This window comes from Homo sapiens, chromosome 3 (genome assembly GCF_000001405.40).
Source record: "Homo sapiens chromosome 3, GRCh38.p14 Primary Assembly".
Lineage (NCBI taxonomy): Eukaryota > Metazoa > Chordata > Mammalia > Primates > Hominidae > Homo > Homo sapiens.
The window spans coordinates 141,749,881-141,776,836 of NC_000003.12; the positions used below are offsets into that span (position 1 = coordinate 141,749,881).

Here is a 26,956-nt window from a genome sequence, read left to right on the forward strand (position 1 = left end):
AGATTTTATATTAAGAAAAGGTTTTGGTGAGGTCTCATTTTAATTTTAGGTTTTCCATCTTGGTAGAAATATCTTGCAGTGAGCCGAGATCGCGCCACTGCACTCCAGCCTGGGCGACAGAGCGAGACTCCGTCTCAAAAAAAAAAAAAGAAATATGAATATAAAAATAAATTTTTTGCCTAGTTGATTTTGGGAATCTTCATATGCTTAGAAAATTAACCTTTTTCTATTAGGCTGGTGCAAAAGTAATTGCGGTTTTTTTGCCATTAAAAGTAATGGCATAAACCATTACTTCTATTAATAAAACCCTCAATTTTCATTTTCATAGCCTTTCAGAATGGGAGTAAGCTTTGCAATCAACCTGCTCCTTCATCTTATCTGTACACTTGATAAATCTGATTCAGTGGTTGGAACGGAATCTGCTTTTCCTGTATTGGTTACAAGCAAGCACTTTGCCTGGGTGAGTGTAGCTGCAGTATAGCATAGAATTAAGACTACAGTTTCATAGTCAGCGCAGCTTGAAATGTTGGCTCTATCATTTACTAGCTGTGTGATCTTGCACAAAATCCTTAACTTCTCTGTGCCTGTTTCCTCAACTAAAATGGTATAACATTGTTATCTACCTCATGGAGTTGTTATGAAGATTAAATAAATGCATTTTAACTGCAAGAACAGTGCTTGACACAGTAAGCACTCAACAAATGTCAGCCATTATTATTGATCACTACTGATGCTGGTAATCTCTTTGCCTTAATTATAGAATTGCTTTTAAGAAAGGAATATTGTTTGCAGAGATACTTCTTGTAAGACTTATGATGTGTGTGTGCAGCTACAACCTGTAAAAAAATTGCCAGCATGAGTCTTCAGGAGAGTGGTTTATAACCTTTTTTTTTTTTTTTTAACTACCCTAACACATTCCCATCAGCAACAATAGGTTCTCCCACAGTGGTTCCCAAAGAAGTGTGTGTGTACCAAGCAGGGCAGGGAATAGAGTTAGAGAAAACTGCTCAAGGGAGTGCAGTGGCACACACCTGCAGTCTCAGCTATTTGGGAGGCTGAGGCAGGAGGATTGCTTGAGGCCAGGAGTTTAAGGCTGTAGTGTGTGATGGCCATGCCTGTGAATAGCTACTGCACTCCAGGCTGGGCAACACAGCGAGACTCCATCTCAAAACAAAACAAAAAGAAAAAACTGCCCAGATGAAAATCTTGCTCAAAAACTCTTTAAACTATTTCAGCACAGGTGAAATGTTCTATGCCATTTGCATTTTATCTGAGCCTCTAAGGAGATGCCTACCAACTATGTAAATTTATTGGGACTTAAACTCTATAGTAGTCATTCTTATACCTTCATTGTAAATTAACCTCTGCCATACTAACTCTAGCTCTGCTTTTTCTACTTTTACAGAAACTATACATTTTTAATATTATATATTTATAATAAAAGTTTATTGCATGCCTGCTATATATGGGGCTTCACCATTATGACAAAGAATTTTAATAAAAAGTCTTCTCTCTTCAGAGACTACAGGGTCTGTTAGGGAATATTAGCTTTACAACAGAATTGTAAAGTTTAAAGTGTTGAACCTTCTAAGAGAAGTAGAAGAGAGAAACCATATTCTACTACAGCATTACACCATATGTGACTACAAGAACCATTTCTCATGTGGATTATAAAAATCTGTTTCTATTGTATGTAACAACATGTGGTAAGTGGTATGTGTGGGGTATGGGGGGTCTGCCCACTGACAAAAAGACCCTATTAAGGAAGAAAATAACATAATCATTTATTTATGTGTATAGATCTGTGTTGTCTAATAGTATAGCTACTAGCCACATGTAGCTATGTAAAATTTAATTAATTACAATGAAATTTAAAATTCAGTCCCATGGTTATACTAGCCACATTTCAAAGGCTCAGTAGTCACATATGGATAGTGGCTTCCATATTGGATATTACAGAACAGAATATTCCCTTCAGTGAAGAAAATTCTATTGGACAGCACAATGTCGATGATCCATTCTATTTTCTCAGAATTTCAGAATCATGGACACCTCAGTGATATATCAAAATCTGTTTTAAGTGACCTTCTGCATACCTTCAAAAGATTATCTTAAAACTAGGATGTTGAACATGTGCCTTACTTTACTAACTACATCTTATCCTTAACAAAAAGGAAAGTAGTATATGTTTTTAAATCTTTAGCTGCCAAATTCACTGGACCTGGAGAAAAAAAATACAAAGATTCCAAATTATATGAAAAACCTCAGTGTTTACTATAAAAAGGGATTGTTGACATAGTTTCCCATTCTTTAGGTTTTGTAAGAATTTCTTAAGTTTGCAAAATGACAATATTTTAAGCTATAAATTCATGTAGCTGCTTTTGTGTCTTTAATAGATGTATAGCATTGGTTCTCAACCAGGGGTGATTTTACCTCACAGAGGACATTTGGCGATGTCTGGAGACATTTGTGGATGTCCACAACGTAGTGGAGGTGCTACCAGGATCTAGTGGGTAGAGGCCAGGGATGCTGCTAAACGTCCACAAGGCATAGGACAGCCCCACAACAAAGAACTGTCAGGCCCCAAAATGTCATCAGCAGTGAGGTTGAGAAGTCCTGATTAATAATAACTTATATACATTTTGATAATATTTTGGGGAAGTTAGAATTCCCTACTAGAAATTTGCTAAAATATGGCCATTGATAATAATCAAACTTGTATAGCCCTTATTATGCATCAAACTCTTTTCTAAGAGCTTTATGTATATTAACTCACTTAATCTTTGCAAAAACCCTTCCTATTATTATCAACTCTTTCTACAGGTAAAGCAATGTAGGCACCAAGAGGTTACATAACCTGCTGCCATGGACCAAATTGTGTCTTCCCAAAACTCAGATGTCAAAGTCCTAACCCCCAATGTGATTATATTTTGAGGCAGTTGGTGGCTTTATAGGAAGAGGATGAGAGGGATATCTCTCTTTTCATGAATGTACCCAAGAAAACTATGTAGGGACACAGTGAGAAGGCAGCTATCTGCCATCCCAGGAGAGAGCACTCCCCAGCCATCAACCCTGCTGGCACCTTGATGTTAGACTTGCCAGCCTCCCAAATTGTGAGAAAATACATTTCTGTTGTTTCAGCCACAAAACCCAGTCTATGGCATTTTGTTTGGCAGCCCAAGCTGACTAATACCTGCCTAAGATGACACTGGTGGAAGGAAAATGGTCCGAATGCAGGCAGTCTGGCTCTGGAATCCACATTCTTCACTACTTGCTTAACACTGTCTCAGTAAAATACCTTCTCTGAACCTATTTTCCTCCAAAATTGCTTTTTTAAAGTTTGTTCACATATTTTGGTTTTTAGTTCTGTAAAGCTACAAACAAACTTCATTTATAGAGATATTTTAGAGCTGTATATTCTGTTTTCAACTCTTGGCCAAACCATTTCGTGGTGTTCTATACAATTTTATGGTGTTTTAGTACAGTGGTTCCCCAATTTTTTTGGCACCAGGGACAGATTTCATGGAAGACAATTTTTCCACAGTGGGGTGGAAGATGGTTTTGGGATGAAACTGTTCCACCTCAGATCCTCAGGCATTAGTTAGATTCTCATAAGGAGCGCCCAACCTAGATCCCTCACATGCACAGTTCACAATAGGGTTGGCGCTCCCATGAGAATCTCATGCTGCTGCTGACCTGACAGGAGGCAGAGCTCAGGCAGTACTGCTTGCTCGCTGCTCCCCTCCTGCTGTGCAGCCCAGTTCCTAACAGGCCAGGGACTGGTACTAGTCCATGGCCCAGGCACTGGGGACCCCTGTTTTATTATACTGCTGTCATATCTGATCTAAATGCAAATGTTCATATGCTAAAAAGGGAATTTATGTTTGTTTTAAAACACTAAGAGCATATGAAGATATCATTGGTAAAAAATACTATATTAACATAATTGGTACAGTTTTCATAAATGCTAAAACAATATTGGAGCAGATTATTACTAACATTTATCAATAGTTTCAAATTTGGTTCCAAGAACAGATAATGTGGTGAAAGTGTTAAGCCCTTCTGCTCATGCAGAAGTATAATGATGTCTCAATACTGGGGTTCCTTGAAAAATCAATTATGTCTTTGATAAAGCCAGGTTTAATAAAGAGATAATGGTGCATAATATAAGCAGTTAATTTTGTGTTTAGTATGGTATCTTCTTTCAAACACTAGTGAATCAGCTGGCAATACACTTGGCAACAAATATCAGAAAACTGCTGCTGCTTAAACAGATAAGGGTGTCACTGTCCTGCACAATAAGAAGTCCAGGGGTAGGAAGTCCAGGGCTGGTACAGCAGGTCAGTGGTGCCATCAGAAACTAGGCTTTCTGCTGTCTGCTCTTGACCATGTCAGAGTGATGGCTCATTCTCCTGCCCTCTCTCTCATGTTCCCAAGATGAATGCTGTATTTTCAGACAGGCCTCATATTTATGTTCTTGGGAAAAAGGATTTTTTTTTTCTTTAGCAAGACATTGACTTGTACTCGGTGAAGGGCTCCCCTCACCACTGTCTTTTTTTTTTTTTTTTTTTTGAGACAGGGTCTCACTCTGTCACCCAGGCAGGAGTGCAGTGGTGCAATCTCTGCTCACTGCAACCTCCACCTCTACCTCCTGGGTTCGAGCGATTCTTGTGCCTCAGCCTCCTGAATAACTGGGATTACAGGTGCATGCCTCCCCGGTGTCTTTAGTCTGTAGTTCACTGGCCAGAATTATGTCACCTGGGAAAAATCAGAGATGAAGCTTTTGGTTTTCCAGCTTTCACAGTAAAGGAAGAAAAGGAAAAGAACAATTGGGAATGGATGTTGAATGACTCAACATAGATTATCAGCCACAATTGATATTAACAATTAACAATTGCTGATACTTGGGTAGTTGCTGCTACATATACTTTCTTTTCAGAGCCTCTTAGAATTGGAATCTTAGAGATTATTTTATCTCTGATATGACATCTTCATGTTTATATTTTTTAATATGCCAACTTATAAAGCAAAGTTTTTTTAAATAGGCTTTTAAATGGACATATCCTTTATGACACAAATTTGGATAGTCCTTAAATAAAAGTATACATCTCAAAATATAACTACGTATGGAAAAAATATGATGTTACATAAGCTGTAACACCACTTTCAGGTATTTTCTAAACTCGAATTTTATGCCAAGGTTCTAGAGAGTACCTGTTCTCTGTATTTTGAAACTCTGAATAGAAATAGCATGTGGTGGCTTTTACAAATAAAATGGTTGCTTCTATACTTGTCCTGACAAATTTAAACTGTTTGGAAAGCTCTAAATCCAATGTTCTTAGCCAGGTGTGGTGGCTTACACCTATAATCCTAGCTACTCAGGAGGCTCTGGTGGAAGGATCACTTGAGGCCAGGAGTTTGAGACAAGCCTGGGCAACATAGGGAGACCCTGTCCCCACCTCTAAAAATGAATGAATGAATGAATGAATCTAATGCTCTTACCCAGCAATTTTATTTCTATGACTGCTGCCTCAATGTCTCTACAACATTTAGCTTCTCTTAAGAATGTGGTCGGTCAACAGAATACTGCCTGAGAGGGCCATATCCTCAACAAGATTTATTAAAGAGGTGGATATTGGGCAAAAGAATTGAAAAGATGTTTCACAAAAGAAGAAGTCTAAATAGTCAGTTGGCACCTGAAAATGTGCCCATTATGCCTCATCAGAAAATCAAATTAAAATCACAATGAAACACCACTATATACCACCCTAGAATAGCTCAAATTAAATAGACTGATAACACTAAGTCTTGATGAACATGTAGAGGAATTGGAACTCTTTCATTCATTGCTAGCAGGAATGAAATATGGAATAACCACTTTGGAAAACAGGCAGTTATTTTTAAAAGTTAAATATATACTTACCCTATGATCTCTTCTACCCTATCATCTAAGGTATTTGCTCAAGAAAAATGAAAATATGCATCCACACAAAGACTTACAAAACAATATTCAAAGCTGCTTTTTAAAATGTTCATATTTATAATAATATCCCCAACCTGGAAACAACCCAAATGTTCATCAACAGAATAATGATATATTCATAGAATGGAACACTACTCAGCAGTTTAAAAAAAAAAAAAAAAAAGATGGCAAGCACAGTGGCTCACACCTGTAATCCCAAGCACTTTGCGAGGCCGAGGTGAGCAGATCACTTGAGGTCAGGGGTTCAAGACCAGCCCAGCTAACGTGGTAAAACCTCGTCTGTACTAAAAATACAAAAATTAGCCAGGTGTGGTGGTGCATGCCTGTGATCCTAGCTACTCAGGAGGCTAAGGCAAGAGAATCGCTTGAACCCAGGAGGTGGAGGTTGCAGTGAGCTGAGATCGTGCTACTGCACTCCAGCCTGGGCGACAGAGTAAGACTCCATCTCAAAAAGAAAAAAAAAGGTGGGGGGGTGAAAACAACTGATGCAGGCGACAGCCTGGCTGAATCTTTATAATCTTTAGATTATGTTGAGCAAAAGAATTCAGGCACAAAAGACTACTTAACTGTATGATTCTGCTGTCATGAAGTTTGAGAACAGGTAAAATCTATAGGGATCAAAATCAGAATGATTGTCTCTCAGCGAGGGGTATTGACTGGAAAAGGGCATGGGAAACTTTCAGCAGTGAGGGAAATGTTCCCTCTCTTGATCTGAGTGATGATTACCTGAAAGTATACATTTTATAAAACTCATTAACTGCACATGTAGGATGTATACATTTTACTCTATGTAAAACCTGAATTTTTTTTAAAAAAGAAAGAGATGGCTATTATTATTGAAGACCATAACCAACACCCTTTTACATTTGCTACTAAATGGAAAATAAAAGAAAATGCATTAATGGTGTTCCATTTGTCTTATTGTTCAACTCTTCAAGAAATCATTCAAATCAAAATAATTGTTTTTCTCATCTTGTTCTGGTCCCCTGTGGAGGTAACCTGAGAAAGCTCCTTGGAGTTCATTAGAAGGGCCACACTTTCAAGAAGTTTCTCAAAACTCAGAAGAAAAAAGTAATGGAAGAAGTGATTTTTTTAAGGGAAAATGTTTTATTAATTCCATCTCTCTTCTAGAATATTTTTCAGGGTTTTAAATGTGCAAAATCTTGGAGCTACCCCCAATTATAAGACGAAAATTTTAGTGTAGCCTGAAATTCCTCACTGAACTCTGAACTCCCACTTTTCTGACAATACGCTTAGATCTTCTTCTTTTTTTTTTTTTTTTTCTTTTTTTTTTTTTTATTATACTTTAAGTTTTAGGGTACATGTGCACATTGCGCAGGTTAGTTACATATGTATACATGTGCCATGCTGGTGCGCTGCACCCACTAACTCGTCATGTAGCCTTAGGTATATCTATCTCCCAATGCTATCCCTCCCCGCTCCCCCCACCCCACCACAGTCCCCAGAGTGTGATATTCCCCTTCATGTGTCCATGTGATCTCATTGTTCAATTCCCACCTATGAGTGAGAATATGCGGTGTTTGGTTTTTTGTTCTTGCGATAGTTTACTGAGAATGATGATTTCCAATTTCATCCATGTCCCTACAAAGGACATGAACTCATCATTTTTTATGGCTGCATAGTATTCCATGGTGTATATGTGCCACATTTTCTTAATCCAGTCTATCATTGTTGGACATTTGGGTTGGTTCCAAGTCTTTGCTATTGTGAATAATGCCGCAATAAACATACGTGTGCATGTGTCTTTATAGCAGCATGATTTATAGTCATTTGGGTGTATACCCAGTAATGGGATGGCTGGGTCAAATGGTATTTCTAGTTCTAGATCCCTGAGGAATCGCCACACTGACTTCCACAATGGTTGAACTAGTTTACAGTCCCACCAACAGTGTAAAAGTGTTCCTATTTCTCCACATCCTCTCCAGCACCTGTTGTTTCCTGACTTTTTAATGATTGCCATTCTAACTGGTGTGAGATGATATCTCATAGTGGTTTTGATTTGCATTTCTCTGATGGCCAGTGATGATGAGCATTTTTTCATGTGTTTTTTGGCTGCATAAATGTCTTCTTTTGAGAAGTGTCTGTTCATATCCTTCGCCCACTTTTTGATGGGGTTGTTTGTTTTTTTCTTGTAAATTTGTTTGAGTTCATTGTAGATTCTGGATATTAGCCCTTTGTCAGATGAGTAGGTTGCGAAAATTTTCTCCCATGTTGTAGGTTGCCTGTTCACTCTGATAGTAGTTTCTTTTGCTGTGCAGAAGCTCTTTAGTTTAATTAGATCCCATTTGTCAATTTTGGCTTTTGTTGCCATTGCTTTTGGTGTTTTGGACATGAAGTCCTTGCCCATGCCTATGTCCTGAATGGTAATGCCTAGGTTTTCTTCTAGGGTTTTTATGGTTTTAGGTCTAACGTTTAAATCTTTAATCCATCTTGAATTGATTTTTGTATAAGGTGTAAGGAAGGGATCCAGTTTCAGCTTTCTACATATGGCTAGCCAGTTTTCCCAGCACCATTTATTAAATAGGGAATCCTTTCCCCATTGCTTGTTTTTCTCAGGTTTGTCAAAGTTCAGATAGTTGTAGGTATGCGGCGTTATTTCTGAGGGCTCTGTTCTGTTCCATTGATCTATATCTCTGTTTTGGTACCAGTACCATGCTGTTTTGGTTACTGTAGCCTTGTAGTATAGTTTGAAGTCAGGTAGTGTGATGCCTCCAGCTTTGTTCTTTTGGCTTAGGATTGACTTGGCGATGCGGGCTCTTTTTTGGTTCCATATGAACTTTAAAGTAGTTTTTTCCAATTCTGTGAAGAAAGTCATTGGTAGCTTGATGGGGATGGCATTGAATCTGTAAATTACCTTGGGCAGTATGGCCATTTTCACGATATTGATTCTTCCAACCCATGAGCATGGAATGTTCTTCCATTTGTTTGTATCCTCTTTTATTTCCTTGAGCAGTGGTTTGTAATTCTCCTTGAAGAGGTCCTTCACATCCCTTGTAAGTTGGATTCCTAAGTATTTTATTCTCTTTGAAGCAATTGTGAATGGGAGTTCACTCATGATTTGGCTCTCTGTTTGTCTGTTGTTGGTGTATAAGAATGCTTGTGATTTTTGTACATTGATTTTGTATCCTGAGACTTTGCTGAAGTTGCTTATCAGCTTAAGGAGATTTTGGGCTGAGACAATGGGGTTTTCTAGATAAACAATCATGTCGTCTGCAAACAGGGACAATTTGACTTCCTCTTTTCCTAACTGAATACCCTTTATTTCCTTCTCCTGCCTGATTGCCCTGGCCAGAACTTCCAACACTATGTTGAATAGGAGCGGTGAGAGAGGGCATCCCTGTCTTGTGCCAGTTTTCAAAGGGAATGCTTCCAGTTTTTGCCCATTCAGTATGATATTGGCTGTGGGTCTGTCATAGACAGCTCTTATTATTTTGAAATACGTCCCATCAATACCTAATTTATTGAGAGTTTTTAGCATGAAGGGTTGTTGAATTTTGTCAAAGGCTTTTTCTGCATCTATTGAGATAATCATGTGGTTTTTGTCTTTGGCTCTGTTTATATGCTGGATTACATTTATTGATTTGCGTATATTGAACCATCCTTGCATCCCAGGGATGAAGCCCACTTGATCATGGTGGATAAGCTTTTTGATGTGCTGCTGGATTTGGTTTGCCAGTATTTTATTGAGGATTTTTGCATCAATGTTCATCAAGGATATTGGTCTAAAATTCTCTTTTTTGGTTGTGTCTCTGCCCGGCTTTGGTATCAGAATGATGCTGGCCTCATAAAATGAGTTAGGGAGGGTTCCCTCTTTTTCTATTGATTGGAATAGTTTCAGAAGGAATGGTACCAGTTCCTCCTTGTACCTCTGGTAGAATTCGGCTGTGAATCCATCTGGTCCTGGACTCTTTTTGGTTGGTAAACTATTGATTATTGCCCCAATTTCAGCTCCTGTTATTGGTCTATTCAGAGATTCAACTTCTTCCTGGTTTAGTCTTGGGAGAGTGTATGTGTCGAGGAATGTATCCATTTCTTCTAGATTTTCTAGTTTATTTGCGTAGAGGTGTTTGTAGTATTCTCTGATGGTAGTTTGTATTTCTGTGGGATCAGTGGTGATATCCCCTTTATCATTTTTTATTGTGTCTATTTGATTCTTCTCTCTTTTTTTCTTTATTAGTCTTGCTAGCGGTCTATCAATTTTGTTGATCCTTTCAAAAAACCAGCTCCTGGATTCATTGATTTTTTGAAGGGTTATTTCTTGCCTTCTGCTAGCTTTTGAATGTGTTTGCTCTTGCTTTTCTAGTTCTTTTAATTGTGATGTTAGGGTGTCAATTTTGGATCTTTCCTGCTTTCTCTTGTGGGCATTTAGTGCTATAAATTTCCCTCTACACACTGCTTTGAATGCGTCCCAGAGATTCTGGTATGTTGTGTCTTTGTTCTCGTTGGTTTCAAAGAACATCTTTATTTCTGCCTTCATTTCGTTATGTACCCAGTAGTCATTCAGGAGCCGGTTGTTCAGTTTCCATGTAGTTGAGCGGCTTTGAGTGAGATTCTTAATCCTGAGTTCTAGTTTGATTGCACTGTGGTCTGAGAGATAGTTTGTTATAATTTCTGTTCTTTTACATTTGCTGAGGAGAGCTTTACTTCCAACTATGTGGTCAATTTTGGAATAGGTGTGGTGTGGTGCTGAAAAAAATGTATATTCTGTTGATTTGGGGTGGAGAGTTCTGTAGATGTCTATCAGGTCTGCTTGGTACAGAGCTGAGTTCAATTCCTGGGTATCCTTGTTGACTTTCTGTCTCGTTGATCTGTCTAATGTTGACAGTGGGGTGTTAAAGTCTCCCATTATTAATGTGTGGCAGTCTAAGTCTCTTTGTAGGTCACTCAGGACTTGCTTTATGAATCTGGGTGCTCCTGTATTGGGTGCATATATATTTAGGATAGTTAGCTCCTCTTGTTGAATTGATCCCTTTACCATTATGTAATGGCCTTCTTTGTCTCTTTTGATCTTTGTTGGTTTAAAGTCTGTTTTATCAGAGACTAGGATTGCAACCCCTGCCTTTTTTTGTTTTCCATTTGCTTGGTAGATCTTCCTCCATCCTTTTATTTTGAGCCTATGTGTGTCTCTGCATGTGAGATGGGTTTCCTGAATACAGCACACTGATGGGTCTTGACTCTTTATCCAACTTGCCAGTCTGTGTCTTTTAATTGGAGCATTTAGTCCATTTACATTTAAAGTTAATATTGTTATGTGTGAATTTGATCCTGTCATTATGATGTTAGCTGGTGATTTTGCTCGTTAGTTGATGCAGTTTCTTCCTAGTCTCGATGGTCTTTACATTTTGGCATGATTTTGCAGCGGCTGGTACCGGTTGTTCCTTTCCATGTTTAGCGCTTCCTTCAGGAGCTCTTTTAGGGCAGGCCTGGTGGTGACAAAATCTCTCAGCATTTGCTTGTCTGTAAAGTATTTTATTTCTCCTTCACTTATGAAGCTTAGTTTGGCTGGATATGAAATTCTGGGTTGAAAATTCTTTTCTTTAAGAATGTTGAATATTGGCCCCCACTCTCTTCTGGCTTGTAGGGTTTCTGCCGAGAGATCCACTGTTAGTCTGATGGGCTTCCCTTTGAGGGTAACCCGACCTTTCTCTCTGGCTGCCCTTAACATTTTTTCCTTCATTTCAACTTTGGTGAATCTGACAATTATGTGTCTTGGAGTTGCTCTTCTCGAGGAGTATCTTTGTGGTGTTCTCTGTATTTCCTGAATCTGAACGTTGGCCTGCCTTGCTAGACTGGGGAAGTTCTCCTGGATAATATCCTGTAGAGTGTTTTCCAACTTGGTTCCATTCTCCGCATCACTTTCAGGTACACCAATCAGACGTAGATTTGGTCTTTTCACATAGTCCCATATTTCTTGGAGGCTTTGCTCATTTCTTTTTATTCTTTTTTCTCTAACCTTCCCTTCTCGCTTCATTTCATTCATTTCATCTTCCATTGCTGATACCCTTTCTTCCAGTTGATCGCATTGGCTCCTGAGGCTTCTGCATTCTTCACGTAGTTCTCGAGCCTTGGTTTTCAGCTCCATCAGCTCCTTTAAGCACTTCTCTGTATTGGTTATTCTAGTTATACATTCTTCTAAATTTTTTTCAAAGTTTTCAACTTCTTTGCCTTTGGTTTGAATGTCCTCCCGTAGCTCAGAGTAATTTGATTGTCTGAAGCCTTCTTCTCTCAACTCGTCAAAGTCATTCTCCATCCAGCTTTGTTCCATTGCTGGTGAGGAACTGCGTTCCTTTGGAGGAGGAGAGGCGCTCTGCGTTTTAGAGTTTCCAGTTTTTCTGTTCTGTTTTATCCCCATCTTTGTGGTTTTATCTACTTTTGGTCTTGATGATGGTGATGTACAGATGGGTTTTCGGTGTGGATGTCCTTTCTGTTTGTTAGTTTTCCTTCTAACAGACAGGACCCTCAGCTGCAGGTCTGTTGGAATACCCTGCCGTGTGAGGTGTCAGTGTGCCCCTGCTGGGGGGTGCCTCCCAGTTAGGCTGCTCGGGGGTCAGGGGTCAGGGACCCACTTGAGGAGGCAGTCTGCCCGTTCTCAGATCTCCAGCTGCCTGCTGGGAGAACCACTGCTCTCTTCAAAGCTGTCAGACAGGGACATTTAAGTCTGCAGAGGTTACTGCTGTCTTTTTGTTTGTCTGTGCCCTGCCCCCAGAGCTGGAGCCTACGGAGGCAGGCAGGCCTCCTTGAGCTGTGGTGGGCTCCACCCAGTTGGAGCTTCCCGGCTGCTTTGTTTACCTAAGCAAGCCTGGGCAATGGCGGGCGCCCCTCCCCCAGCCTCGCTGCCGCCTTGCAGTTTGATCTCAGACTGCTGTGCTAGCAATCAGCGAGATTCCGTGGGGAGATTCCGTGGGGTAGGACCCTCCGAGCCAGGTGAGGGATATAATCTCGTGGTGTGCCGTTCTTTAAGCCGGTCTGAAAAGCGCAATATTCGGGTGGGAGTGACCCGATTTTCCAGGTGCGTCCGTCACTCCTTTCTTTGACTTGGAAAGGGAACTCCCTGACCCCTTGCGCTTCCCAGGTGAGGCAATGCCTCGCCCTGCTTCGGCTCGCGCCCGGTGCGCGCACCCACTGGCCTGCGCCCACTGTCTGGCACTCCCTAGTGAGATGAACCCAGTACCTCAGATGGAAATGCAGAAATCACCCGTCTTCTGTGTCGCTCACGCTGGGAGCTGTAGACCGGAGCTGTTCCTATTCGGCCATCTTGGCTCCTCCTCCAGATCTTCTTAAGGATGAAAAATATGGGCTTGGATTCTTCCCATACCTCATGCTTCAAATAGCCGTTGATGACCCTGAAGCCATAGTGCTGTGTTTCGGTCAAACAACAGCCCAGAACTGAAGTTTTGTGAGGGCATAAGGCACCTAATAAAGCATAGGAGCTCTGGAGTCCTCCCAACTTCACCATTCCTTGCTGTTAGGTCCTTAAGGTGAATGCAAAGTGAAAGGAGCAACTTTCAAAGTTCTTGCTGTAGCTTCCACCCTTAGCTCTCAAACCCACTAACTAACCCAGCAAAGTCTGGGGGGCCTCAGATCAGCCCAACCCTCTGCCAGCTCCACCTTCACAGACGAGGAACCAGGGCCCCAGTGCTGTGCCTAAGACCTCCTTCAACTTAGCAGTAGCCCAGTGGAAGCTGCAGGATCCCGGATCCAGATCCAGTGTGCGTGGCAAGGCCAGCACCCCTCCCTGCCCCCAACACTGTCCACCACCATCTGCTTTGAGTCCAGCAATCTCATCCTGCCCTTTATCCTAGTTAGATACCTCAACACAAGAAACCCAGTTTTCCAGCTCAACTCACATTCTCCTAACTCTAATTCCAAGTAGTTCTTTACATTCCCTTTTATTCCTGCAACTCCCACCCCTTCCTGACTTCTGAAACTTGTCCTCTGTGCCCTCCAATATTTACACCAACAAAATTTCCTCCGTCCTCTTCCCTTCCCTACAAATTCCCTCCATTTTGTTTTCCCTAAAACCTGGTTCTCCCCCAAGGACACTGTTTCTTCTGCAACACTTCTGCTCCCCTCATCCAACTGGACCTGGCAACATGCAAGACGTCTTCATTTCTCTTCATTGCTGCTCTCCTTCCTTCCCTAAAAACACCCAGCTTTGAGTCTCATGTGACTGGACTCCAGCAGTCACTGTGTCTTCTTGCAGCCCCACAAATCACTCGCTGAGTTGCTAGCTCCCAGCTCTCCATCACTACTCTTGATAATTCTTGGTGATTTCAATACCCACATGGCTGATGCTTCTCATACCCTGGCCTCTCCATCCCCTGATCTCATCTCTTCCAGTGATGTGCTCTCCACCCCTGCCTTGACTGCCACTCACTCCAGTGGTCACACCCTTAAGCAAGACTCCTCAAGAGTAGCTTACACTAGCTGCCTCCAATTCATTGATTCTCTGTTGAACTGACTCTCATAAGGTTTTCATCCCACTACTTCATAGAAACTGCTCTTGTCAAGCATCTGCGTGACCTCCAAGTTGTTAAATTCACTGACCAATTCTCAGTCCTTATCCCACTGACCTCTCAGCAGCATTTGCCGTAGTAATCACTGTTTTCTCCTTGACACTCTTTCTTCCCTTGATATCCAGGATCCACATTCTGTCTCTCCTAATACCCCACTGCCCTCACCTCCTCAAACTCTAGGGCTCAGTCCTTAGATTTCTCTGCCCTCACCCCAGAGTGATCACACCCAGTCCTGTGGCTCTAAAGGCCATTTATATCTGGGGTGACTCCCAGTGAGTATCTCCAGCCCAGCCCTCTCCTGTGGGTTCCAGACCCATAGATCTTGTAGACTACTCAAGACCTCAGTTTGGCTGTCTCCCTGGCAGGTCAAATTTAACAGGTACAAGACTGAGCTCTTGATCTTCCCCACACCCTGCTCCTCCAGAGGATTTCCCACCCTGTTTACCAGAAATTCATCCTTCCAGTTACTCAGGCCCAAAACCTTGGAATCACCCTTGCTCCTTTTCTGTCACACCCACAATCCATCCATAAGCAAACTATCTTCCCCCTCCCCTGATTTCTCACCAGGGTTACTGCAGCAGCCTCCAGACTGGTTTTTCTGTTTTAACCCTTGCCCCTTCTGTCTGTGATCCTGTTAAAATGTCCATCTGATTGTTGAAAACTTCCAGTGGCTTTCCATCTCACTCAGAAGGAAAACCTAAGTTCTTGCAGTGATCAGTACTGCCTCACTGGTCTGCTCTGTTTCCTCTCTGAGGACATTTCCTGCTGCGGGCCCCTCACTCTGGGCCACCCACACTGACTTTCTTGCTGTTTCTCAAGCTCACCAGGATTTGAGCCAGCTGTTCCTTCTCCCTGAAGTGCTCTACCCTCAGGCAGTCACATGGCTCACGCCCTTACCTTCAGGAGGTCTTGACTCTCATCATTTTCTCAATTCAGTCTTGCCTGACCACCCTATTTAAAAGTGAAGCCTTCTCCCTGGTGTATCTCAGCACTTCCCTTCTCCTTCCCTGCTTGATTTTTCTTCACAGCACTTACCACCATCTGTGGTGGGTTGGAAAACATGGCCACAGTATTTTACAGCTACTCCTATCAACCTGGGCTAGGCTTGTGACCAGTAGAATGTGGCAGAAGTTAACGGTGTATCAGCTCCAGAGCCTGGAACTGAAGAGATCTTGCAGCTTCTGCCTTCACCCTTTTGGAAAACTGCTCTGAGGCCATCATGCTTTGAGGAAGCCCAGGAGGAAACACTGCAGAGAGGCTCAACCACCCCAGCTCTCCCAGCTGAGCTCAGCCACCCACCGATCCCCCAGCTGAATGCAACCATAAGAGTGAGTCCAGGTGAGACCAGCAAAGAGCTGCCCAATCAAAGCAAATCTGTATATTTGTGGGATAAGTGCATAGAATGAATAGACAAATGAAACATAGGCCAGAGCTTTGTGTGGATTTTAGTTAATATGACTTAGTACTCAGTACTACTTACGAATTCTCTTTTATACATCAAAGTCTTCACTTGCAATGTGCTATCAGGTAAGAGGTGTTTAAGTGTCACCAGCTGAATCTGGTGTTCCATTTTCTTTACCATAGCGTATATCAAGGGTCAGGCCCACACTGTATATGGAAATAAGGCTTTCATCTCAGTTGCAAATGACTCTAATGTTACTATTGTTTATAAAAGTTGGGGTGTTTAAATATTTTAAAGTATTCTTTAACATAACTCCCTCTACCCCACCAGTGGACATTTAACATTTACACGCTTAACTTAATTTTTTCTTTTTTTTTTTGAGATGGAGTCTCACTCTGTCGTCCAGGCTGGAGTGCAGTGGCGCGATCTCAGCTCACAGCAAGCTCTGCCTCACGGGTTCACGCCATTCTCCTGCCTCAGCCTCCCGAGTAGCTGGGACTACAGGCACCCGCCACCACGCCCAGCTAGTTTTTTGTATTTTTAGTAGAGATAGGGTTTCACCGTGTTAGCCAGGATGGTCTCGATCTCCTGACCTCGTGATCCACCCGCCTCGGCCTCCCAAAGTGTTGGGATTACAGGCGTGAGCCAACGCACCTAGCCAGTTTTTTCTTATAACTTCCTTATTCTCTCCACTCTCGATTACTTTTATTCGCCACCAAATGTGAAAAAAAAAAGTCTTTAAAGCAGACTCACCGAAATTTCTAATAAATACTTACTACTTCTTCATTCCAGAATACAAAGTCTTTTATGTCCTACTAAAAATAACTTTGACTTTTATGCCCTTGTTTCATTCATTATTATAACCGTAACACTTTTTTTCAAATAATTCCCACATATTCGCCACATATCAAATCTATGTTTTGTGGAATTTCTTTTGCTTTTTGTTTGCTAACATTGTATTGTTTGGTCTTCTCTAATAATCTATGTCTTCTAATAAAATCTCGTACTTTCCAGAGAGTTGCTTAGCAGATTTTTAAAATCTTATTGTGTGAACACATACAGTTCATTTGCATATCTGCCATAATTCATTTCCAAATGGAATCTCTATCAGGAAGTATTTTCTATTTCCTTCAGATATACCAATTACTTCATTTTCTCTCTTAGCTACTGTGACTCCTTGTTTAAGAAGAATATCCTCTGTTATGAGAATGCAGTCATTATTAAAACAATTAGAGTCTTGTTTAGAGAGGAAGATGTTTATGTTATGCCAGATTATAGCCTAAGATTCAATATTTATGGACTTAATTTATTATAGAAATGAGGAGTTTTAAGCAAGCATACAGATTCTTTCACCCCTATGAAAGCATGTGCAACTTCTCCTATCTTAAGTAGCCTCAAAAGCAAAAATTTTCACCATCTATTCTTGGTATGACATGTAAGGAAGGTCAGGCTTCCTGTTGATAAAAAGATTTCTCTTTCAGATACACAATGATTGTTTCATTATCAATTGGAACAGAGCTGAACTGAATGCTTGGTTTTATACTATGATACCATGCAAGCCTTATAACTAAAAATCTGTTGGTTTTGTGTTTTGTTTTTTGTTTTTTTTTTTTGAGACAGGGTCTCCTTCGCACTGTCACCCAGGCTGGAGTGCAGTAGCGTGATCTCAGCTCACTCCAGCCTCCAGCCCCCAGCTCAACCAATCCTCCTACCTCAGCCTCCTGATTAGCTGGGACTATAGGCATGTGCCACCATGCCCAGATTTTTTTTGTATTTTTAGTAGAGACGGGGTTTTGCTGTGTTGCCCAGACTAGTCTCAAACTCCTGACCTCAGGCGATCCATCCACCTTGGCCTCCCAAAGTACTGGGATTACAGGCGTGAGCCACCATGCCCAGCAGAAAAGTCTGCTATTTTAAAGGGAAACAGAGGACAAGAATCATTTGTAAATATCTCAGCTTTCTCCTTTGTGTGTCACACTAGATTCTTTTACCCCCAAGCTTCTCTATGCCACAGGGACAATGCTAAGTGAAAAGTACCCTGGAATGGACTATGAGACCCTAAGTTCCTAGTCTAAACCCAGCATTTAAGTTTTTTCTGGTCTGTTTTCTTCATGTACAGGAAGAGCTTAGACTAGGTACACACTATGATAACATGCATTCTATTTAACTCTGTGATTATTGGATAATTGGAGTTAATAGGAAAGTGAGTGGTTTTCAACTGACATTTCCTGAAAGTTAGAAAATGAATTGTTCATTCCTCTATGTTCCCCTTGGATTTGGTGCCTACCTGTGGAGCGGCCTCTAACCACACTGTGTCACGGTTATCATGGTAAATGGGGCCACCACACATAGACCCCTTGCAACAGACCCACACTCCTGTGCTGTCTGGAGAGCTGCCCTTCGTCCTAAGGCCAATCCTTCCCCTTATATTTTAACCTCGCCCTCTAACCTGGATCCTTCCTGTCAGCCTTTTTTTTTTTTTTTTGAGACGGAGTCTCGCTCTCTTCCCCAGGAGTGCAGTGGTGCAATCTTGGCTCACTGCAGACTCCGCCTCAGCCTCCGCCTCCCGGGTTCCAGTGATTCTCCAGCCTCAGCCTCCCAGGTAGCTGGGATTACAGGCACCCACCACCACACCTGGCTAATTTTTTTGTATTTTTAGTAGAGATGGGGTTTCACCATGTTGGCCGGGCTGGTCTCGAACTCCTGACCTCAGGTGATCCACCCGCCTTGGCCTCCCAAAATGCTAGGATTACAGGCATGAGCCACCGCCCCTGGTCCTTGTTAGCTTTTAACAAGCACAAGACACTACCATTAATTTTTTCTCCCATCTCTCGCAACCCCTCCAGCTCCCCATCATATGTCTCTCCCTTTTCATGGCCAAAGTTCTGTGGCTGCAACCTTCACTTCTCCACCTTCCTTCCCTCCTCAATCCTCTCCAGTCAGGCTGAGAGTCCTACTCCAGGAGCCAGTGGTTTCCATCCATCCTCCTTTCTTTCTCCTCATCATCTCAGCCTCTCAGCAGCATTCGATGCAGTTGGCCACTCTCTACTTGGCTTTTGCGGCACCACACTTTCCTGCTTCTCTCCAGCTTCCCTTCTCATTCCTTCTCAGCCTCCCTTACAGGCTCATCCTCTGAATGATAAATGTTGAATGACCTCAAGGCTCAGTCCTTGTCCATCTTCCAGTCTCACTCCCTTCTCTCTCCCCAGGTGGGTTCTTCAATGCCTACATCAATTATCACCTACTCCCCTATGACTCCCAAACATGCCTTTCCCTCCAGACCTCTCCTCTGAACTCCAGACCCTTCTATCCCACTGCCCACCTAACATCACCACTGGGACATCTCCCAGGCACCCCAAATTCTGCATGTTCCAAACTGAACACCTTCTTCCAGGTTTTCCCTGTCTTGGTGAATGACATAACCATCCTCCAGCTCTCCTAAGCCTGGATTCACCCCTTCATCTCCTTCTACCTCACCCTCCATAATCATCAACTCCTGACTATTTTGCCTTCTGAATAGCTTAAGATTCCTTCTGCTTTGTTCCATCTTGACAGCCAGCATCATGACTCACTAGGCTGCTGCAGTAACCTCTCATCTGGGCTTTCTGCACCCACTCTATTCATAAAGCAGCAGCCAGCGGTGTCTTTGAAACACAAATATATCCACATCGTATGGCTAAACACTCTAGTGGTCTCCCATTGTTCCTAAGAGAGAGGTCAAATCCTTAAAAGGATGGCTTAACTGATAATGGTACAGGAGTTGGTCATCATCCTGTTTGTTCTCAGACACTTTCTCTGACTTTGGCCTTCTCTGATCTGTATCTGCAGGGACTCACCCCATGCAAGCTCTGCAAGTGACATTTCCCAGCCTCCCTTGCCCTCTGGCTTCTGGCCAGGCTCTGCTAATGAGGAAAGACACCAGGGCATCTCTCCCCATCTCACTCGGCCTCGTGTGTGACCTCTGGGAGTGGCTGCATCTCCGATCTTTCAGCTCCCACGTGACAGCCTCTCCTGCAGTCCCAGCTCCTACCAGACAGCCCCTGTATTACTCTCCTGTGGCTGCCATAATGAATTATCACAAAGTATTTTTGAAAAACCAACAAGGTTTTGTTTGTTTGTTTGTTTGTTTTGAGACAGAGCCTTGCCCTGTCGCCCAGGCTGGAGTGCAGTGGCGCAATCTCGGCCCACTGCAACCTCTGCCTCCTGGGTTCAAGCCATTCTCCTGCCTCAGCCTCCCAAGTAGCTGGGATTACAACCGCCCGCTACCATGCCCAGCTAATTTTTGTATTTTTAGTAAAGACGGGGTTTCACCACGTTGGCCAGGCTGATCTCAAGTGATCTGCCTGCCTTGGCCTCCCAAAGTGCTGGAATTACAGCGTGGTTAAAGGCTGTTCTAGAGGTAGGTATCAAATCCAAGGGGCACATAGAGGAGGGAACAATTCATTTTCCAGCTTTCAGGAAATATCAGTTGAAAACCACTCACTTTCCTATTAACTCCAATTATCCAATAATCACAGAGTTTATAAAATGTGTGTTACCTTAGTGTTTACCTAATCTAAACTATGACTGTACATGAAGGAAACAGACCAGAAAAAAAGTAAGTGCTAGATTTCAACTAGGAGCCACCTAGTGAGCCACTACACCTGGCCAACAAGGTATTTTTGATTACTTCAAATTATTAAAAGTGGGGCCAGCTGTTGCTGGGAGGGTAAAGACCCTTTTGCTATACTTTCCAGTAGAGGGCTTTTACTGAAAGAAAAAAGAAAAAAAAAAAAGACACCTTTGCTGTGGAAGGATTCAAATCAGACGTTGCCAAAAGAAGACATATAAATGGCCAACAAGCATATAAAAAATACTCATCACCACTAATGATCAGAGAAATGCAGATTACAGAATGAGATACCACCTCACACCAGTCAGAACAGCTACTGTTAAAAAGTCAAAAAACAACAAACGTTGGTGAGGATGTTGAGAAAGGGAATGCTTATACACTTTTGAGGAGAATGTAAATTAGTACAAACTATATGGAAAACAGTATGGAGACCAGGCATGGTGCTCACACCTGTAATCTCAGCACTTTGGGAGGCTGAGGTGGGAGGATCACTTGAAACCAAAGGGGTCAAGGCTGGCTGCACTAAGCCGTGATCACACCACTGCACTCCGGCCTGGGTGACTGAGTGATACCCAGTCTCAAAAAAAAAAAAAAAAAAAAAAGTCAAAACCAGTATGGAGAACTGCCATTTGGTCCAGCAATCCCACTATTGGGTATCTCCTCAAAGGAAATCATTATATTAAAAAGATAACTGCACACATATGTTTATCACAGCACTATTCACAATAGCAAAGATATGGAATCAACCTAAGTATTCACCAATGGGTGACTGGGTAAAGAAAATGTATGTGTGTGTGCACGTGTGTGTGTGTGTGTGTACACATATCCATACATGGAATACTACTCAGCCATAAAAAAGAATGGAATCATGTCTTTTTCATCAATGTGGATGGAACTGGAGGCCATTATTATCTAAGTGAAACATCTCAGAAAGAGAAAGTCAAATACAGCATGTACTCTCTCAATAATCAGTAACTAAATAATGTGTACATATGTACTTAGAGAGTAGAATAATAAACACTAAAGTCTAGGAAGGATGGGAGGGTAAGAAGGTGGGAGCAGGGGTAAGGGATAAGAAATTACTTAGAGAGTAGAATAATAAACACTAAAGTCTGGGAAGGATGGGAGGGTAAGAAGGTGGGAGCAGGGGTAAGGGATAACAAATTACTTAATGTGTACAATGTACATTATTCAAGTGATGGCTACACTAAACGCCTAGACTTCATCATTATGTAATATAGCCATATAACAAAACTGTGCTTGTACCTCCCAAATCTATTTTTTTTTTGAGACTGAGTGTTGCTTTGTCACCCAGGCTGGAGAGCAGTGGCGCAATCTAGGCTCACTGTAACCTCTGCCTCCTGGGTTCAAGCAATTCTTCTGTCTCAGCCTCCCAAGTAGCTGGGATTACAGGCACCCACCACCATGCCCGGCTAATTTTTGTATTTTTAGTAGACACAGGGTTTCACCATATTGGTCAGGCTGGTCTCAAACTCCTGACCTCAGGTGATCCACCCGTCTCAGCCTCCCAAAAGTGCTGGGATTACAGGTGTGAGCCACTGCACCCAACCCGTAAATCTATTTTTAAACAACAACAACAACAAAAGTTGTTGAACAATCAACAACTTGAAGCTAAAGAACAACCTGGGTTCTTTGGGTATTTTGTTTTATTTTATTTAATTAATTAATTTATTTTTCCTGAGACAGAATCTTGCTGTCACCCAGGGTAGAGTGCAGTGGGACTATCTCAGCTCACTGCAACCTCCACCTCCCAGGTTCAAGCAATTCTCCTGCCTCAGCCTCCCAAGTATCTGGGATTACAGGCATGCGCCACCATGCGCGGCTAATTTTTGTATTTTTAGTAGAGATGAGGTTTCACCATATTGGCCAGGCTGGTCTCAAACTCCTGACCTCATGATCCGCCCACCTTAGCCTCCCAAAGTGCTGGGATTACAGGCGTGAGCCACTGTGTCCGGCCTTTTTGGGTATTTTAATGCTAATGTATTAGTCTGCTTCAGAACTTACACTGCTCAAAATAGCTTCTCTGTGTTTCTAAGACCATATAGCACTGCACTATATTACTTCCTAATTCTTGATCTTCAAATAGATATGCTATTGGACCATGCAGAGAATTGGGCATTTTAAAGGATGGTGAGTTTCTTACTAGAAACTTAGCTTTACTATTTTCCTTAAACAGTTAATCTTAGGATGTATTTTCAGAGAGAAAACTTTAAAATTGAGAACATGTACACCATTAATAATGCTTTAAATGATGCAAAGGGTAATGAAAGACCTGGGCAAGAGCATTTTTTTCTTTTCTCTAGGTTACAAAATGGGTCCTAAAAATACTAAAATATTTAAATTGCTTTCTACTATCATAAAAGTTATGATTTTTCATTCAAAATGAAACATCCCTTAATCTAAAATAAAAGTTGAGGCCGGGCGCAGTGGCTCATGCCTGTAATCCCAGCACTTTGGGAGGCTGAGGCGGGCAGATCACTTGAGGTTAGGAGGAGTTCAAGACCAGCCTAGCCAACAAGGTGAGACCCCATCTCTACTAAAAATACAAAAATTAGCTGGGTGCATTGGCATATGCCTGTAATCCCAGCTACTTGGGAGGCTGATGTACGAGAATTGCTTGAACCTGGGAGGCGGAGGTTGCAGTGAACTGAGATCATGCCACTGCACTCCAGCCTGGCCAACAGAGCGAGACTTTGTCTCAAAAAAAAAAAAAAAAAGTTGAAAAAATAAAATAAAAATAAAGAAATATATCCTCTTTTCATATGACAGAGGTTAGTCTTCTTTTTGTGGTGGAATATAGTAAATTGTTGAGTTACAATAGTGTGTTAGAAATCTTGCATGATATTTAATAAATCTGACCTCCCTGTCTTCTAGCTGCATGGGGCATCACAGTTTTCCGAGGTCATGTGCAAATGCTGAATTGGCTGCTCTATACTAGATGTGCATGGGACACAGGAACCCATCTTCTTCTACATCGCTTAGGCCTTTCTCCCCTCGAATCTGCATATTAGAAAAGCAGAATTTTGGACTAAATTTTGATGATTGATGGTCATGATTTATTATGATGATTATTATTTATTGTTATTATTTTTTTGAGACGGAGTCTTGCTCTGTCGCCCAGGCTGGAGTGCAGTGGCACTATCTCGGCTCACTGCAAGCTCCACCTCCCGGGGTTTCACCGTGTTAGCCAGGATGGTCTCGATCTCCTGACCTTGTGATCTGCCCACCTTGGCCTCCCAAAGTGCTGGGATTACAGGCATGAGCCACCGCGCCCGGCCTGATGGTCGTGATTTAAAAGCTAATACTTTTTGATCACTTCTTTGTGCCAGGCATTTGGCATTTAATTCTCTCAAAGCTTACCCAAGAATCAACATTTATTACCTGTTTTATAAATGATGAAACTAAGGCTCAGAGAAGTTAAGTAACTTGCTGAAAGTCACACAGCTAGGACTTGCTAAAGCCAGGATTCAGATTTCCCAAGCAGTGCTGGACTTAGTGCTCTTAACTGTTGGGCCACATCCCCAACCCCAGGTTTCTGGTACGTTTCCCCACTTGGCGCAAGGGATGCTGACTGTGCCCAGCACTTTTGGCAAAGTGTGTGCTCTGCTTCTAATATAAGAATTCAATGCTGTTCTTTAATTGAACCTATAATTACTGTTTCATTAAGTTGGGAAAATCTCTGGATCCTATTGTTAGCAATCACAGAAAGTGTTCCAGCCGGGCATGGTAGCTCATACCTGTAATCTCAGCACTTTCAGAAGCCGAAGCAGATGGATTACATGAGGCCAGGAGTTCGAGACCAGCCTGGGCAACATGTCTCCACTAAAAATACAAAAATTAGCCAGGTGTGATGGTGCACAACTGTAGTCCCAGCAAATCGGGAGGCTGAGGTAGGAGGATCCCTTGAGCCCAGGAGGTTGAGGCTGCAGTGAACTGAGATTGAGCCACTGCACATTAGCCTGGGCAACAGAGTGAGACCCTGTCTCAAAAAAGAAAAAAAAGAAAAAAGAAAGAAAAAGAAAATGTTTCATTTTAAATAGACCTTCAAGAAGTTCATAGCATACATGTTCACCAGTGAAAGCATGTTTTTCCCCAGTGATAAGCTTAAATATCTCTGTGATATCAATGCTACCATTTTCTCAAGGTTCTACCCTGCTAGGCTGCCACCACATTCCTAAGAACCACGGGAAAAGGCATTTGCTCCTCCGAAGAAATTCTCAGACTGATTTTTCACTGTATTGTCAGGTGAGCAAAACTTTAAAAATAATGGTAGGTACCATATTATCATTTTATAACTTCTATATTTTGTGTCAAATATTATTTAAACTTGTTGTCACCAGTCAGATTATTATTATTATTATTATTATTATTATTATTATTAATTATTATTATATGTTTTGAGACAGAGTCTCACTCTGTCGATCTCGGTTCACTGCAGCTTCCGCCTCCTGGGTTCAGGCGATTCTCCTGCCTCAGCCTCTCAAGTAGCTGGGGCTACAGGAGTCCGCCACCATGCCCAGCTTATTTTTGTGTTTTTAGCAGAGACGGGGTTTCGCCATGTTGCCAGGCTGATCTCAAACTCCTGGCTTCCAGTGATCCACCCGCCTCAGCCTCCCACAGTGCTGGGATTACAGGCAGGAGCCACTGCACCCAGCCAGATTATTTTTAATTAATAAGAAAGTGAACCAGGCACAGTGGCTCACGCCTGTAATTTAGCACTTTGGGAGGCCAAGGAGGGCGGATCACTTGAGGTCAGGAGTTCAGAACCAGCCTGGGCAACATGGTGAAACCCCATGTCTACTAAAAATATGAAGATTAGCTGGGCCTGGTGGCAGGTGCCTGTAGTCTCAGCTACTTGGGAGACTCGCTTGAGCCCAGGAGGCAGAGGTTGCAGTGAGCTAAGATCACGCCACTGCACCCTAGCCTGGGCGACGACAGAGTGACAGAGTGAGACCCTGTCTAAAAAAAAAGAAAAGAAAAGAAAGTGAGTTATTTATTCAGATCTATTTTTATTGATTAGAAAACAGATGATAAGAAAAACTCCCTCTTTTTAAGAATGACAAAGTTACATAAATAAAGGTAAGTCTGTGCTCTCCAATAAGTAGCCACATGTGGCTACTTATTTCAAATACTAAGTAGAACATGTGGCTACTTAGCATTTGAAATTTGCCTGGTTTGAATTGAAATGTGTTGTAAGTGTAATGTACAAACCAGATTCTGCGAACTCAGGACACATACACAAAAAAGAATGTAAAATATCCCATTGGCAACTTTTACATCAATTACATGTTGAAATGATAATATTTTGGATATACTGAGCTAACTAAAATATAACTATTAAAGTTAATTTCGCCTGTTTTTTTTTTATCATATTAATGTAGTTGCTAGAAAATTTTTAATTACATATGTGGCTTCATATTTTCTACTGGGCAGTATTGGGTTAAGTGATTACTTAGGGATAAAAGAAAGTATTAGCATGAGTGGAATCAAGCAGTTCATAGCATACGTGTTTACCAGTGAAAGCATTTTTTTTCCCCAGTGATAAGCTTAAATATCTCTGTGATATCGGCCAGGCACGGTGGCTCACATCTGTAATCCCAGCACTTTGGGAGGCCGAGACGGGCAGATCATGAGGTCAGGAGATCGAGACCATCATGGCTATCACAGTGAAACCCCATCTCTACTAAACAAAATACAAAAAATTAGCCGGGCGCGGTGGCGGGCACCTGTAGTCCTAGCTACTTGGGAGGCTGAGGCAGGAGAATGGCGTGAACCCAGGAGGCGGAGTTTGCAGTGAGCCGAGATCACGCCACTGCACTCCAGCCTGGGTGATAGAGCGAGACTCCGTCTCAAAATAAAAATTAAAAAAAATAAAAAATATATATAAATATGTATATATCTGTGATATCAATGCTACCGTTTTCTCAAGGTTCTACCTTGCTAGGCTGCCACTACATTCCTAAGAACCACGGGAAAAGGCATTTGCTCCTCCGAAGAAATTATCAGACCAATTTCTCACTACTGAACAATGTGGACCGGGGTAACATATAAAGAACAGAAAAGTATCCAACATTTCCCGTGTTGGTTTCAAAGCAGACAGCATGGTTCAGAGCAGCGGGCACCGGTGCAGATCGCCCATCTCCACGGCAGAGGTGATCGTTTCCAGCGCAGCGGTGCAAAGCCAAAGGGCACCCACGAGTTCATTACATAATTCCTGGTAGCATGAGGCCAAGTGTGTATGTGCTCTAGGGGAACAGTCGGAGGCTCTGACAGGCAGAGCAAGGCGATCATGACTATGTTTTCACAAAGTGTATGCTAGCAGTTGTTTGGAAAAAGACTGACCAGCTTTTTTCCCCCTCCTTCTCCCTCTCTCTTTTTTTTGCTTGTAAACACTTTGGCAT

The 26,956-nt window shown here is 42.0% G+C and overlaps 1 protein-coding gene across 2 annotated transcripts in view, besides 1 other annotated feature; it reads left to right on the forward strand.

Moving 5' to 3' along the window:
- Positions 1-103: 103 nt before the first annotated feature.
- The window catches only part of GRK7 (G protein-coupled receptor kinase 7), a 69,369-nt gene continuing 42,516 nt past the window's right edge, over positions 104-26,956 (forward strand). The window contains exons 1-3 of one of the 2 annotated variants that reach the window (XM_047447449.1): positions 104-460; positions 15,549-15,858; positions 24,700-24,800. The gene's annotated coding sequence lies outside the window, so the exon portion shown is untranslated. Of the gene's footprint in view, positions 461-13,527; positions 15,859-24,699; positions 24,801-26,956 lie in introns of those variants that run through there. The other variant, NM_139209.3, reaches the window with a different exon arrangement.
- Positions 12,773-12,947: a silencer, noted in NCBI's record as "fragment chr3:141481495-141481669 (GRCh37/hg19 assembly coordinates)". NCBI's record gives its function as "represses an EF-1alpha promoter that drives an FKBP-Casp9 reporter gene in an ReSE screen in K562 erythroleukemia cells {active_cell/tissue: K562}" and the evidence as "EXISTENCE:reporter gene assay evidence [ECO:0000049][PMID:32094911]".